We start from the raw sequence: 17,089 nt of genomic DNA, 5'->3' as shown, positions 1-17,089 counted from the left end.
AATACCTTTCTCTTCAAACTTGTTGAACCATGATATGTGCTAGTTAATACAATATTGTGGTTTAGTCATTTAATTTGTCTTGTCTTAACTTCTCTAGCATGTATAAAATGAAGGGGAAAAGTAATATTTATGTAGGGCTTTATTTTTAAAACTTTATGTTTTGTATTGCCTTTGAAAGGACTTAGCAAAAGTTTGAAATGCTTGTGCAGGGTAGTGATCTTTTTTTTTTCCTTCTTTTATATATATATATAATATACATATTTTTATTCTTGTTCCCTTTATGCTGATTATTAGATTTCAGATTTCTTTGGTAATGTGAGGATAGATTTGAGATTTAGATTTCTGCTTAGTAAAATGATAGCTACTTTGAACGCAACTAGTAATGTTTTTCTTCATAAATTTAATGGTACGCATAAATATTAGAATGTTCATGGAGATGGCTATTTGAAAATAGTTGATGAAAGTCAGAATTTCATCCACTCCACATTCTTAAATTGATAAAGCATATGTTAAAGTGTCGTTTTCCTAAAGGTGAAATCATGACTCTAATGCAAATATAAAATGAGCATAAGTCAAATACATTATTCAATTCATTGATAAATGAGGTTACTAGTAATTTGTAAGCTGTGGTTCAAAGAGCATTTGAGGAATTGCAGGTTTTTATAGGAAAAGATTGCCAACCAAATTAGATACAAAACTAATTATTGTTCTATAGATCCATAAGTTATAAACTTTGAGGTTGTCTCTTATTCCACTGGACGGAAATATATCAATCTCGTTAGACAACAATTATTTGCCTTTATTCTTTTTTTTTTTTTTTGAGACGGAGTCTTGCTCTGTTGCCCAGGCTGTAGTGCAGTGGCGCAATCTTGGCTCACTGCAACCTCCGCCTCCCAGGTTCAAGCGATTCTCCTGCCTCAGCCTCCTGAGTAGCTGAGATTACAGGCATGCACCACCACGCCCAGCTAATTTTTTTTTTTTTTTTTTTACTAGAGACGAGGTTTCACCATGTTGGCCAGGCTGATCTCGAACTCCTACCTTGTGATCCACCTGCCTCGGCCTCCCAAAGTGCTAGGATTACAGACATGAGCCACCGTGCCCAGCCTATTTGCCTTTGTTCTAAACAGAATCTACAAGTTAACTTCTACTCCTACAGAGCTTAATACCTACTGATCAGTCTATAGAGAGTCAATCAAAGATACAAACCCACCACTGCATGAAAGAACACTCAGTAATAATGTCTGCCTGTTTCTGAGATTTAGGTAGTTTTTCTTATAGATGAATTTTATTTTTTAATAGGAGGATATTTTGTAAAACTTGATTTTGGATATCAGTGACATACTGCATTGATCACTGCAAGATAATATAAGCTGTTTCTTGAAGTTTGATATTTTAGTATCAAAGTAAGTATCAGTCTCTCTTTAAACTTTGTATTCCAAGCCAAGAGCAACATTATTTAGCATTTTCCTACATGATTTTGTAAATTGTTCCAGAGGATTTATATCCTTAATGAAGGAATCATATTTTTAATACTATCTTTTAAAAAATATGGTTTTTTTTTTTACTTAAAATATATTAATTGGAAAACTTTCAGATATTAGTTGACTAGTTTGGGAGATTTGTCAGTTGCTCAGATTTATCACTCAGCTGGAAATCATAATCAGTTTGGTGACTTTCTCTATTAAACAATTTCAAATAAACCACTGGTGAATAACAAACCATAAGAGTCACTGATAATTGATACATGACAACTTAAGGAGAATAAGGATGATAATCCTATAAATTTGCCTCAAGACAATTATTACTAAGTGTGTAAATTGTACTCGTTTCATAAAATTGTTATGTAGCATATCAAGATGTCTTTAGTACTCTAAAAATAATGGTAAAAAACATAGTATGCAGTGTGATGAAATCAAATTTGGTTCTTCATTTTTGGAGAATAAAAGACTTTACACATTCAAAGAGTTATCTACCAGTCCAGGACTGCAAACTTTTTCTCATATATAGTTGCTTAAAAAGAAATATGAAAATTACAAAAACAAGCCAGCTAGGTTTTTTAAAAGTATAAAAGTTAAAATTTCAAATATCAGGTCATGAAAATAGCTTTTCCGCTGTATTTTTGATGGCATAATACCTTTTTTTTTTTTTTTGAGACGGAGTCTCACTGTGTTGCCAGGCTGGAATGCAGTGGCGTGATCTCGGCTCCCTGCAACCTCCACCTCCCGGGTTCAAGCGATTCTCCTTGCCTCAGCCTCCTGAGTAGCTGGGACTGCAGGCATGTGCCACCACGCCCAGCACATTTTTGCATTTTTAGTAGAGACAGGGTTTCACCATGTTGGCCAGGATGGTCTGGATCTCTTGACCTCGTGATCCACTCGCCTTGGCCTCCCAACATAATACCATTTTGAATGTGATGTATGTGTAATCTTAAAATTCAACATGAAAGGTAACTTTATAAATGATTTGTGATGAATCATTGTATTTTACATAACTGTTTCTAAATTAACTGAAGAGCCTTAATGTCATTTGTTAGGTGGGAAAAATACAAATTGGTCTTACATTTTTATCTTGGTATAATATGTTATTTAAGGCCAGGAGCAATGGCCCACACCTGTAATCCCAACACTTTGGGAGGCTGAGATGGCAGGATTACTTGAGCCCAGGAGTTTGGAACCAGCCTGGGCAACATAATGAGAACCCTCCTCTACAAAAAATTAAAAAAAAAAAAAAAAAAAGCTAGGTATGGTGGTGCATACCTGTATTCCTAGTTACTAGGAAGGCTGAGAAGGGAGGATCACTTGAGCTGAAGAGTCAAGGTGCAGTGGCCCTTCAGCCTGGGTGCCAGAGAGAGACCCTGTCTCTAAAAAAAAATAATTGTTTAAGGTGTGTTATTATGAAGTTTGCTTTAATTTAGTATTTTGTAGTACTAATAAGTAAATCCTTTTTTAAAAAAATTAAAATGAGCTTATTATATATACTACTTCATTATGTTCTGCAAAAAAAAAGTAGAATGATATGGAGAGTGTATGAGATTTTCATAACTGGGAAATAGTGATTTAGAGAGTCACAATAGGCTAGTCTAAAGAAATGCTGGATACTTTTAGAAAATTTACTCTTTTAAATATTTTCTGAGAAATGAAAATGTTGAGTTTGTGGTTCCATCTTCTTCACAGGCAATGGATTGTTTGATTTTTAAAGAAGGTTTATCTTTAGGTTAGAATATGATGTTTCTATCAATTGGTCACTTAATTAGAACAGGTGACAATGTCAATAAATATTTAAAAGAAGGTTTTGCAGAAAATAAAGAACCATATAATTTTTAAATTAATATAATCTAATATAATTATATATATTTGTGCCATTTTGTACTTTTAAATATTTGTGCTCTAATTCACGGTGTTATTTCTTACTCATTAATCACTTCACTGAAGATTTTCAAAGCTTTTTTTGTAGCTTTGGAAAATATTTCTTTAGAATTTTCAGCAATTGTGTCATTGTTTCTTCGTTTTCATATTTAGAATCATAGGATGAAAATGAATTATACGTAATACATGTGATCTCAATATGATTTTGAGGGGGAATCTTTTCTAATTTTGTTCTTACTTTTAGTTGATAATTGCTCTCTGAGGATGGACTTTAAAAAATTTGATTATGGGCTGGGCACAGTGGCTCATGCCTGTAATCCCAGCACTTGGGGAGGCTGAGGCAGGTGGATGACCTGAAGTCAGGAGTTCAAGACCAGCCTGGCCAAAATGGTGAAACCTCATCTTTACTAAAAAAATAGAAAAACTAGTTGGGCGTGATGGTGGGCACCTGTAATCCCAGCTGCTCGGGAGGCTGAGGCAGGAGAATTGCTTGAACCTGGGAGTTGGAGGTTGCAGTGAGCTGAGATCGTGCTATTGCACTCCAGTCTGGGTGACAAGAGCAAAACTCTCAAAAAAAATTTTTTTTCATTATGTTTCTTTCTTTGTTTTTTTCTTCTTTGCCGGGTCATAGAACATTTCCAATAAGATAAAACTGATCCTTTGATTTGCATTGCTTTATATTTAAACTTTCATATAGGTTTGCTATCTATGGAAATTAGTGGTCTCTTCAAGGGCTGTAACAGAAAGGAATATAGGAAGCCCTACCAGTATTTTGTAATTTAAAAAGCTGTAATGAAACAATTTATAGAAAATCACCTAGTCTGGGATTCCTAATCTTGTTTTGTTGCATTACCCTGAAATGTGTCAGTTTTCTCTGTTTTCTTCGAGTTTTTGCTTTTCAAACATCTAGAAATCTCTACACAGTTTTCCTTTTTCAGCATTCCAGTTCTACTTCAGGCCTAAATCCCGCCCTGCAAATGGTTTCTTACTTTTGCTTGCACATTTGAATTTGGTCTTCACGAGCAAATTCACAGCAGTGAAATCACACCCTTCTGTGATGTTTGCCATCATTGGAGTGGAGTTGAATTGTCTGTTTATTCAAACTTGGTTTGTCCTCTGGGAAGCAGTTGTCTGTTATTTATATGTTGTATCCTAGTAAGTGGTGTAATTTTCCAAAAGCAGGTGGACAGTTTTTCACCTTTGTAAACAGAGTGTATTTTTGCAGTGCACTGGAAGGAGGGATTCTCTTTCCTCTTACACATGCTGATCCTGACCCACTTTATAAAGGTGATTGTTAGGCGAAAAGCGTATGCATAGAATAAGATGTTTCCTACTATTGCACACTCTTAAATGTCTTTTCCCTTCATTCTTTTTCTAAAAGAATGTTTCTAGTAAAATGGAAACATTTATTGCTCTTTAGCCAGCCTACTCTGCCCTTTCTCCTCACCTTCACCCTCTTAAACAAAAATGAGATTATTGCAGTGGAAACTGAGATGTTTCATCACAGTAGATAGTTCTGTAAGTTGTCAATTGGAAATTATTGTGATTGTGAGTCTGCCGATTGTGTAAACTGTTGCTTTTCCCCCACATACGTTATTTAACTTTGAGATACCTTTGGTGTTGATACAATTCTGTATGTCTACATGGCAGGGCTACTGTTTTAACTTTTAATAGCCACCAGTGAATTTTATAAGAATATGGATTGTATAAAATGTTTTATAATAATGGAGAAAATGAGTTTTCTGTAGCTCTCCATAATTGTGTCCTTCCCTTATTTAAAACTATTTTGCATAGGTAAAAACATAATAGCAGTAATCTTGGTCAATTTTTTTAAAAAAATTATTTTGATTAAAGGATAATATGCTCTTAAATATGTGTTATGTCATAAAAGAAGGTGAATCTGTACTGTTTACATTTAAGTTAATTTTAGGAAAAAGAGCTTTTAAGAGAATTATTCACATGGAAATAAACTTCCGTTGTATGTAACTGTTAACTGGAAAATTTCCGTGTGGCTCATTAAACTTGAAACATGTTTATCAATGATTTTGGTGCATTTAGGAACTATAAAAGTAGAAAGGAATACATATGGTAAGGCTAACCAGTGTGGATAGAAAAGTGACGAGAGCTCTTCATTGGACAAGATAGGTAATATAAGAGAGAGAATGGCCCAAATTAAATGTATCAGATAACAACTCATTAGAATTATGTCCTTTTAGAGCTTAAAGAAACATCATAGATAATTTAATGAAGGTGGCTTCTTCAAAAGATTGGGGAATAAGCTTGGAGTGGTGAATTCCTTTAGATTGTCTTCTACAAATTTAGTGAATTTGTGGCAGAACTAGGGCACAGACCTGGAATGAATGGCTGCTAGTTTTGTATGTTTTCAGTTGTAAAATAATGGTGTTTTTTCCCTAGTAAAAGGGTTTGGAAATCATTTGGGGTATTCTAGTAAAGCCTTTGGCCCTCTATGCTGTTATGACAAAAGCAGCCATGACATTTAGGGTATTTTCAACAAAGGCCTTAGAACAAAGCAGAAAATTTTATTCTACATCTTGTGCATTACACAACTGTCTCTGGAATATTGCAGAGAAATATTGCAAAGAAACAAATGAAAAGATAATTTCTTTGCCAGAAGCATATCTTATTCATCCTCATATTCCCAACACTAAAATACACGTCTTCTAATAAATAAATTTAGCTCCACTAAATAATGATTGTTAAGTGAATCAATAACACATTATTAAAAATTAAGTTTAATATAAGGGACATCTGTCTGTAAGTGTTTGGATTTATTTCTGGGTTCTGTGCTGGTATGGTATAAAAATAGTCACATAGACCAATGGAACAGAATAGAGAACCCAGAAATAACTCATCCTGTGATTTATCATCTTACGATTTTAAATATGAAATAAATCATCCTATGATTCTAAATATGAAAACAAAGAAACAATGACACTGTTATTATGGCCTTATAGTATAGTTTGAAATCAGGTAGTGTGATGCCTCCAGATTTGTTCTTTTTGCTTAGTCTTGGTTTGGCTATACGGGCTCTTTTTTGGTTCCATATGAATTTTAGAATTGTGTTTTCTAATTCTGTGAAGAATGATGGTATTTTGGTGGGGATTGTGTTGAATTTGTAGATTGCTTTTGGCAGTATGGGCATTTTCACAATATTGATTCTACTCATCCATGAGTATGGGATGTGTTTCCATTTGTTTGTGTCATCTGTGATTTCTTTCAGCAGTGTTTTGTAGTTTGTCTTGTAGAGGTCTTTTGCCTCCTTGGTTTGGTATATCCCTAAGTATTTTATTTTTTTGCAGCTAATGTAAAAGGGGTAGCAAACAAAAACATAAAGTGGGGAAAGGACACCCTTTTCAACAAATGGTGCTGGGATAATTGGCTAGCCACATGTAGGAGAATGAAACTGGATCATCATCTCTCACCTTGTACAAAAATCAACTCAAGATGGATTAAGGACTTAAATCTAAGACCTGAAACTATAAAAATTCTAAAAGATAACATTGGAAAAACCCTTTTAGACATTGGCTTAGGCAAAGATTTCATGACCAAGAATCCAAAAGCAAATGCAATAAAAACAAAGATAAATAGCTGGGACCTAATGAAATTAAAGAGCTTTTGTATGGCAAAATGAACAGTCAGCAGAGTAAACAGACAACCTACAGAGGGGGAGAAAATCTTCACAATCTATACATCTGATAAAGGACAATATGCAGAATCTACAATGAACTCAAATCAGCAAGAAAAAAAGCAAACAATCCCATCAAAAAGTAGGCTAAGGACATGAATAGACAATTCTCAAAAGAAGATATACAAATGGCCAACAAACATATGAAAAAATGCTCAACATCACTAATGATTAGGGAAATGCAAATCAGTACCACAATGTGATACCACCTTAACTCCTGCAAGAATGGCTATAATCAAAAAACAGATGTTGGCGTGAATGCCGTGATCAGGGAACACTTCCGTACTGCTGGTGGGAATGTAAACTAGTACAGCCACTATGGAAAACAGTGTGGAGATACCTCAAAGAACTAAAAGTAGAACTACCATTTGATCCAGCAGTCCCACTACTGGGTATCTACCCAGAAGAAAAGAAGTCATTATACGAAAAAGATACTTGAACATGCGTGTTTATAGCAGCACAATTCACAATTGCAAAATCATAGAGCCAACCCAAGTCCCCATCAATCAATGAGTGGATAAAGAAACTGTGATGTATATATGTGATATATATATGTGTATATATACACACACATATACATATATACACATATATATACATATATACGTATATACACACATATATATATATACACGTATGATGGAATACTACTCAGCCATAAAAAGGAATGAATTAATGGCATTCACAGCGACCTGCATGAAATTGGAGACTATTATTCTAAGTGAAGTAACTCAGGAATGGAAAACCAAACATCGTGTGTTCTCGCTGATATGTGGGAGCTAAGCTATGAGGACACAAAGGCATAAGAATGATAAAATAGACTTTGGAGACTTGGGGGAAAGGGTGAGAGGGAAGCAAGGGATAAAAGACTACAAATATGCTGCAGTGTATACTGCTCGGGTGATGGGTGCACCAAAATCTCACAAATCACCACTAAAGAAATTACTCATGTAACTAAACACTGACTGTACCCCAGTAACCTATGGAAAATTAAAAATAAATAAGGGACATGATAGTGGGATTTCTCAAAAGAGAGATTTTTGTCAGTATTTAAATAGAATATTACGTTAAATAAGATGCAATTGAAGAGCAAAAAGACCATCCTTACGTTTTGTTTTTTTTTTGAGACAGAATCTCACTCTGTTGCCTGGACTTGAGTGCAGTGGCACGATCATAGCTCACTGCAGTCTCGAAATCCTGGGCTCAAGCAGTCCTCTTACCTTGGCTGCCCAAATCGTTGGGATTACAAACATGAGCCACCATGCCCGGCCTGCATTTTCAGGAGAGAGTGCTCTGGGATTTTATCTTTTCAGATGTGAATTCATGCTCAATTTAGCAAGTAATTTATTTACTCATAGAATAAATGTATATTGCTTGGTTTCATTCTTAGTATATATAGTTATATATCTTATTAATATATTGCTTGACATTTTTGGAGAAAGGAAAAGTTCTTTTCTGGGATCTGATTGTGTTTAATTTCCCTAGTGTGAAAGCCTTTCTGTGGATCCCAAAAAAAGAGTTGTGGGCCGGATGCGATGGCTCACACCTGTAATCCTAGCACTTTAGGAGGCCAGGGCAGGTGGATCACTTGAGGTCAGGAATGTGAGACCAGCCTGGCCAACATGGTAAAACCTCGTCTCTACTAAAAAACAAAAAAAAATGAGCCGAGCATGGTGGCACGCCCCTGTAGTCCAGCTACTTGGGAGGCTGAGACAGGAGAATCCTTTGAACCTGGGAGGCAGAGACTACAGTGAGCTAGAAATCAGTAATACGGATTGCTGATATGATTGATTATTGATTTCCAGCTTAATTTTGTGGTTATATTATATATTCCTTTGAAATTTGCTGAGGCTTTCTTATGCACTAATATACAGTCAAGTTTTAAAATATTTCATACTTGCTTGAAAAGAACATGTAATTCTCTTATTATTGGTTATGAGATTCTGTATATGTCTATTAAATGCAGCTTTTTAATCTTAACTTCTCTTTCTCGTATACATTTTTTTTAAGAGACCAAATTGTTTGTCCTATAGAGTTTCCAGTAGTCTGCATATTTCTGAAAGTATCCCTGTGGTATAATTTACATGTGTTTTTATAAATTGATAGTTGGATTTAGACAGTGATTAGTTTTAGAGTTGATTTCCTTTTTCTAAGGCTCTTCACAGGTGGTGATGTGTTCCTTGATCATGAGATTTGTAATAGTTGTCTTTTTTGTGACGTTAGCAGCCATTAATGTTCAGTGTCTAGATCTCTTACTTCATTAAAAATTATAAAATGATAATCTAGTTCTATTATTCCTTCATTTACTAGCTGGAATCATTTTATAATGAGAAACTTATTATTTGTCTATCCAGTAATACAGTTTGTATATGAAAAGTGAAATAAATGCTTGTTTCTCTTTATTGCTGTTCTGTCTCCCTCTCTCCCTCCCTCCCTCCCTCTCTTCCTTCCTTCCTCCCTTCCTTCCTTCCCTTTCTTCTTTCCCTTCCCTTCCTTTCCTTCCGTTCTTTTCTTCATGGGGTTCTCTGACCCCCAGGCTGGAGTGCAGTGGTGCAATAATAGCTCCCTGCAGCCTAACTCCTGGAAACAAGTGGTCCTTCTGCTTCAGCTTCCCAAGTAGCTGGGACTACAAGTACACACCTTTTTTTTTTTTTTTTTTGTAGAGATTGGGTTTTCTTACATTACCCAGGCTGGTCTTAAACTCCTGGTTTCAAGCAATCCTCTTGCCTCGGTCTCCCAAAGTGCCGAGATTATAGGCATGAGCCACCGTGCCCAGTCTCGTTTTCATTATAATAAGTGTGTTCTCTAGCTTAGTCCAATGGTGATTATTTCTTTTGTGTCAGTATGCACTCATTGATTTAAGCGTATTTAATGTTTCGATTCATGGCATTTATTATTCTTATTGATGTGTAACTTGTCACATATTTGGTCAGTGGAAGCCTTTTCATGTCCTTTCGTCACAACCATAGTAGTCTTTGATAGCTTTTTTGATGTCTGGGTAAGATGTTCCAAGCTCACTCATCATGGTGTGATTCCTTTTATTTTCTTTTAAAATTATTATTTTTTTGACTAATGCTATTTTAACAAAACCTGATTCTTTTTTATGAGAAATGGTACTCAGAGATCACAGTCTGGATGCTAGGAACATACATTTCTACAAAATTGGTCATTATTTCTAAACCTTCCATTGGACACAACTAGAAAATACACATACATATAAGTGTGTGTGAGAGAGAGAGCGAGAGAGTGTGTGTGTGTTCATTTAAAATGAAATATATTGTGGAGTTTAAACTGATACTTCCAATTTAAAACGAGCACTGTAAGGATGCTTTTTCTCTCCCACATCTTCCTTCCTCCCTTGCCAAAAATGCCATTTTCTTAAGGTTGTTGGGGATGGCAGAATTATAATATCCCATCTCACTCACTGGCTTTGTTCCTCATCAAGTGATTGCAGAATGGCAATACTAAAACTATCACTAACAGCATGATTACTGAAAACATAAAGAATCTAATGATTCACTTCATTGGTTGTAGGTATTGTTTTCTTATGTCAGTTTTGATAAGTTACACTTTTTAATAGGAATATGTCTATTCTTCTGAGTTTATAGGTATTGGCACAAAATTGTCTTGTGTCCTTAATGTCTTTTAAACCATTGCTATCAACGAAATGGTATTCTCCTTTATGTTGTTACCATTATTTATTTGTACTTTGTTTTTCTTGCTTCCTCCTATCAGAAGTTTGTTGATTTCATTAGTCTTTTCAAGAAATAAGTTTCGGCTTTTTTGAGCCCCTGTAATATCTTAATTTATATTTACTTCTGATTTTTCACCTCCTTTCTTCTATTTTCTTTGGACTTATTCTGTCTTTTTCCTCTCCTGACTTCTTAGATGGGTCACTTAGCTCATTATTCACTAGGCTTTGTTTCCTCATATAAATATTTAAGACTTAATTTCCATTTAATGTATTGTTATCAATAGCAATTTGTTGTACACTCAAATTTGATAGAGTTCATAGTTCTATGAATTTTTCATGCAATGTTTTTGGTGTCTTCCTGAGGATGAAATTTTCCCTCTTCCGGCAAAGCAGTCTTGGTAATTTCTCCTTATTTATTGTTGATATTATAACTTCATATACAGTATGGATGTACCTTGTTTTACATATTGTGTCTGTTTCTAAATTTTTCATTTGTCTCCTTCTGAGTTCTTCCACAAGTCCTCCTTAAGTTGTTTTTTAAATTTTTTTAAAGTCAGTTTTATGAGGTATAATTTATGTGAAGTAAAATTCATACTTTAGCATATAGTTTTATGAGATTCAACAAGCACATATAGTCACATAATTTTTGCCATAATCAAGATACAGAAGAGTTCCAAAAATTTCGCACATGCGCTCTGTGGTAGCCCCTTTCACCTTTCTCTCTGTGGTGCTTGCCTTCTCTTCAACTTCAAACTAGTTACAGGTTTCCCTGTAACCTCAGCTTTCTTAGGAGTTCCAGAAAAAGTTATAATTTTGCAGATTGTCTGGCTTTTGTTATTGTGAGAGTGGCAATGATGCTCTTTCCAGCCAGACACATTATTTTTCTTATCAAGTCATTTTTAATAAATTCACATTTCCATATGTCATTTAGTATTAACACTACCATTTGAATATCTTTCTTCCATAGATGTATTTTGTTTTTTATGCATGTGTATCTTCACTGAAGTTTTATTTAGTTCTGCAGTGGTCTCTTAGGTACTTATTTAATTTGTATTTGAAATCTTTTTAAGTTTAGAGTTAAAAGATTAGCATTTTAATATGTACGTTTCAAGTTTATAAATACTCTGATCTTCTAATTTTTACTAAAAATTAAATATTGGCATACGTTATTGTGGGTTATACTCTACAACCGGAGGACTTGTTTTGTTTATATGTAATCAAAGGAACATTAGAAAAACTTTAAAATGGATAACTTTTTGATTGCCAGATTTACTCTTCATAGGGCTTATCATTTTAATGTCCTTAGCTAATTTTAAGATGATGTGAAAATTTTTTATTACTTCATTGCATTAAGGAATTGATTATTGATTTTTATTACAAAGAAACAAGATAAAATATTTTTGAAAATATTTCATCTGAACTGCTGGTACCTGTTGTTTTTTAAAATGTGGTATTAGAAAAAATTTTTGATGAATTTTTTATCAGGTATCTATAACTTATTGAATTGGTTTTAAATATTGTATTAAGTAAATGATAATGTGTCATCATGTTGGAAACAATATTGCATATTTTAACCTAATTTTACCTCCTGGTTACTTTCGTGGATTTTAATAGTGGGTTACTAAATGTTTCTTTTCTTTTAACCTTTTTATAGGTTATTTTAGTGTCCGCCAACAAATTGACTCGTTATATAGAACCATGCCAATTAACAGAAGATTTTGGTGGGAGTCTCACCTATGATCACATGGACTGGTTAAATAAGAGGCTGGTTGGTATATTACAATGAGATAAAATGTTATTGCATAGAAATAAGATATATTTTGATAACTTTATCATTTTAGTCTATTAAAATATAGATTATTTTTCTTTTTACAAAAATGGAGAAATATGTGCATACCACATTATAGCATAATAGACAAATACTGTGAAGTCAGACTTACTTGATTAGAATCCTGATTCTAGTTGCTAGGCCTTCAACAATGCGTTTAATCTTGCCTTGGCCTGATTCCCACATCTGTAATATGGTGATAGTAATAGTACCTACCTTTGTGTGATTATGGGTAAAATGAAATGAATATACATATAAAGCATTTAGAACAGCACCAGACATGATATAGTGGCACTGTATAAGTTTTAGCTATTACTGTTCTGTCATTAGTAGCATCAGTAAAGGTTGTAAAATTTTTAATTAGAATAACAGTAGCATAATTTTTTTTTTTCTTTTTTTTGAGACAGTCTTGCTCTGTTGCCCAGGCTGGAGTGCTGTGGCGCAATCTCAGCTCACTGCAACCTCCGCCTCCGGGATTCAAGTAATTCTCCTGCCTCAGCCTCGTGAGTAGCTGGGATTACAGGCACGCGCCACCACGCCCAGCTAATTTTTGTATTTTTAGCAGAGACGGGGTTTCACCATGTTGGTCAGGCTGATCTCAAACTCTTGACCTCGTGATCCACCTGCCTCGGCCTTCCAAAGTGCTGGGATTACAGGCGTGAGCCACTGCTCCCAGCCAACAGTAGCATAATTTCTTGAGGTGATCTAGTTGCTATACCATTTTCAGAGGATATTTAAACATTAATTTGAATTATCAACTTGAAGAGCAGTTTGACAGATTAAGCATTTTCATTTGTGAAAATGTATCGTCTTTGGCATTCTAGACTTCTGAAATCTGCAACTCTGTGTAATTTGATTTTTTTTTTTTATTGAACTACTGAAAGAACAAACGTCAGATTAACTCATTTTAGATTAAATAATAATTTTATTGGAGAATGGTGAACTTTTGGTTATCTCTGAATGGATAACTAATTCTGTTTCCACCCAGTTTATTTATTTAGAGACAGGGTCTCACCCCAGGCTGAAATGCAGTGGCATGATCACCACACACTGCAACCTTTAACTTCTGGGCTCAAGCAGTCCTTCCACCTCAGCCTCTCAAGTCGTTGGGACTGCAAGTGCATGCCACCATGCCTGACGAAGGTTTTATTTTTTGTAGAGATGGAGTCTCCATGTTGCCCAGGCCAGTCATGAACTCCTGGGCTCAAGCAACCCCTCTGCCTCGGCCTCCCAAAATGCTGGGATTACAGGCATGAGCTACTGCACCCAGCCTATTTCCACCATATTTAAAAAGTGGTGTTAGTCAAGTGATTGTCTACTTCATTACTTAAACAGACTTGCCCAAATTCCTTTTCAGAAATATTTGAAGAAATCATTAAAATTATAACTAATTTTAAATGCTACATGCATGTATATAACAACTATTATGTGAAACCAACATGTGTTGGTGATAGAATAACATAAAGAAGTGTTCTGTAACTGTTATTAGAGACTTAGCGTGTTCTAAATTACATGTATGTAGTTAGAACTGTTATCGATGCAAATGTTTCTCAAAGAAACACGTATCTGAATGGAGAATGAAGATAATTTATTGATGTATTTAAATTTTAAAAATTATTTATCCATGAAACTATTCATTGCTTTAGGAAACAGTTTTGTCTTCTCTTGGGTACATTGTTGTGCTCTGGTGGTAGAATTGCACGAACTGCTGGGGAAGGAAAACATATCCTAGCTGGCCAATTCTATTACTCTTAACTGACAATCCTTATTACATATTAATTTTTAAGACTGTTCTTAGTATGTTAATAAAACTCATATTGTAGGTTTTTGAGAAGTTTACAAAGGAATCTACATCATTATTAGATGAACTTGCTTTGATTAACAATGGAAGTGATAAAGGAAATCAGCAAGAGAAAGAAAGGTAGGTGGCTAGTGGCATGCAATTATATCCTTGCAAAACTATAATTATTCTGATAAAAGATATCTCTATTGTTAATGCAAGCTAAAAGAACTACAGTAAACAAAGTCTTCATTCAATCAAAATTGACGTACAATATTCGTGAGAATTTGAATTTGCTTTACATGTAAAATGTATTGGTTTGAATCAGAGTTTCTTCACAAAAGCCTTTTTTTTTTTTTTTTTTTTTTTTTTTTTTTTGAGACGGAGTCTTGCTCTGTCACCCAGGCTGGAGTGCAGTGGCGCTATCTCGGCTTACTGCAAGCTCCGCCTCCTGGGTTCCCGCCATTCTCCTGCCTCAGCATCTCCAGTAGCTGGGACTACAGGCGCCCGCCACCTCGCCCGGCTAATTTTTTGTATTTTTAATAAAGACGGCGTTTCACCATGTTACCCAGAATGGTCTCGATCTCCTGACCTCGTGATCTGCCCGTCTCGGCCTCCCAAAGTGCTGGGATTACAGACGTGAGCCACCGCACCCGGCCCATTTTTAAATTAATAGTAATGTATTTACTTTTTTCTGACACTATGTAAAATGTTTCAAGAACGTGTTTTCAAAAGAAACACTTTTCTACCTTTTTAGAGTTATCTTCTTTCCTGGTTAAGAATATGAAAAAAGTTGCAGTTTGAAATACAATTATTATAACCTTATTTGAATACATTAGCACTTAAATGTCTAGCTTATAGAACTTTTTCTGCTCTTGTAAAATATGTGATATTCATGAATTCAAATTGGGGAATTTAGTGTTTTATGATATGCAATGAAGTAATAGTTGAGTGGTATTATCTGAATGTAACTACCTAGATTTATCATGTTAACAGATTTCCCTTGAACTTTACAACCTTGTCAGCTTTCACTTTTCTGTTGGTAGAGCAAGTCCTCCTCCTCAGATAAAAAGCACTTTAGCAAGCAAATTAACTATTCAGGCCACTTGATTATTACTGGTCACTAAAACAGTAATTTTTCATTAGGAAATGTGAAAGAATCCTGGTGTTCCCTGTCATCCGATCTGTCTCCTTTGAATCTGACCTTGAAGATACAGTGGAACCTTAATAAAATGCTTGTTGTTATTCCTTGAATCCAAATATAGTCACATATCAAGTTTTCAAGTGTAAGATCATAGTTTTAACACAAAATCTTGATTAAAACAAAGTCAAACTGTGAAAACAAACGGTTTGAATGTAAATCTGATTAAAGTCACAAGCAGTTAGGAATGTTTCCATCCTACAGATGCCGTATAAAAATGTAAAATTATGAAATTTTGTATATGTATATAAATATGTGATTGTGTGTCTGTAGATATCACACACATATATGCTGTGGTTTAGGAAGTGAAAATATCATGAGTTACTTGATGAAAATTAGCTGGACTTGTTTTCTGAATAGTCCATCCGAGTAAGTTTGATGTTTCTTAGTTATATTCCTTGGGAAAGACATCCCATGTTGGTGACTATAGAAAATGAGTCCATGATCAAAGAGTTTGATGCTGTTGACTGTATTTCCCTCTTTGAGAATGACTGTGAATATTGCAGATTAAAGGTTCTGAAGAAGCAGTGCAGCAAAGAAACCTATTTAATTGCTTCCTTAAAACATATCTTGTTCAGGCTGGGCGCGGTGGCTCATGCCTGTAATCCCAGCACTTTAGGAGGACAAGGCGGGTGGATCACAAGGTCAGGAGATCAAGACCATCCTGGCCAACATGGTGAAACCCCATCTCTACTAAAAATACAAACATTAGCCAGGCGTGGTGGCACGCACCTGTAGTCCCAGCTACTCAGGGGGCTGAGGCAGGAGAATCCCTTGAGCCTGGGAGGCGGAGGTTGTAGTGAGTCGAGATCACGCCACTGCACTCTAGCCTGGGTGACAGAGCGAGACTCCGTCTCAAAAAAAAAAAAAACAAAAAAACAAACATATCTTGTTCAGTGTTTTGGGAAACACTTTGGGAAGTCCTGGTTTCCATGACTACATGAAATATCAAAATCTTATATTTGCCAGTTCCTCCTCAAGGAACTGACGTGTTATTGCTTAGTTTCCTTTAAACCCCAGATCCCAGATAATAGAGTCCCTCCTCTTGCAAATTTTTATCAGCTGTCTGTTTTTTTTTTCAACCTTCTTTATGTCAATCCTCAGGAAGCATCTGAGGGCCTAGATCCATTGACAAAAAGTGAAAAATTTAGCATGAGACCAGTCAGTTAGAGCAGCAAGGTCATTGTCCCCTTTCTTTCCTTCATCTTTTCTTTCCTGTATGTGTTTAGGAAAATAAAGGCAGATGTCCAGCTGCACAAGAAGTATGATTAGGGAAGAGAGTACAACTGCTAGGACACACACACACACACACACACACACACACACACACACCCCTGGAATATAAGACAGAATATTCACAGCTATCAAAGATTGCTGTAGGTAAATAAAGTTTTGTCTGGAGGATGGCTGCATGCATTTTTTAATGTTACATTTCTGGGTTACTATATGACAAACTTCATTTTGAAACAAATACTCATTGGATAAATACTAAATGGACTTCTTTGATATATTTGA

The 17,089-nt window shown here is 35.1% G+C and overlaps 1 protein-coding gene across 6 annotated transcripts in view, besides 2 other annotated features; it reads left to right on the top strand.

Moving 5' to 3' along the window:
• SESTD1 (SEC14 and spectrin domain containing 1) overlaps window positions 1-17,089 on the top strand; it is a 163,155-nt gene that overhangs the window by 101,022 nt on the left and 45,044 nt on the right. For all 6 annotated transcript variants that reach the window (XR_007084411.1, NM_178123.5, XM_047446274.1 and 3 more), the window contains 2 exons: window positions 12,420-12,533; window positions 14,417-14,514. Coding sequence is in view for 5 of the 6 variants with exons in the window: in NM_178123.5 (NP_835224.3) it covers window positions 12,420-12,533; window positions 14,417-14,514 (212 nt within the window). In the remaining variant the exon portion in view is untranslated. The remainder of the gene's footprint in view (window positions 1-12,419; window positions 12,534-14,416; window positions 14,515-17,089) is intronic.
• Window positions 6,390-6,559: an enhancer, noted in NCBI's record as "experimental_56718 CRE fragment used in MPRA reporter constructs". NCBI's record gives its function as "activates a minimal promoter by MPRAs in K562 erythroleukemia cells, with activity observed for both the introgressed and non-introgressed 2:180022064 variant alleles {active_cell/tissue: K562}" and the evidence as "EXISTENCE:reporter gene assay evidence [ECO:0000049][PMID:34662402]".
• Window positions 12,313-12,482: an enhancer, noted in NCBI's record as "experimental_56717 CRE fragment used in MPRA reporter constructs". NCBI's record gives its function as "activates a minimal promoter by MPRAs in K562 erythroleukemia cells, with activity observed for both the introgressed and non-introgressed 2:180016141 variant alleles {active_cell/tissue: K562}" and the evidence as "EXISTENCE:reporter gene assay evidence [ECO:0000049][PMID:34662402]".

Source organism: Homo sapiens, chromosome 2 (genome assembly GCF_000001405.40).
Source record: "Homo sapiens chromosome 2, GRCh38.p14 Primary Assembly".
NCBI classification, from domain to species: Eukaryota; Metazoa; Chordata; class Mammalia; order Primates; family Hominidae; genus Homo; species Homo sapiens.
Note: the sequence above shows the minus strand (reverse complement) of the source record. Positions and strands in the feature narration are given on the sequence as shown.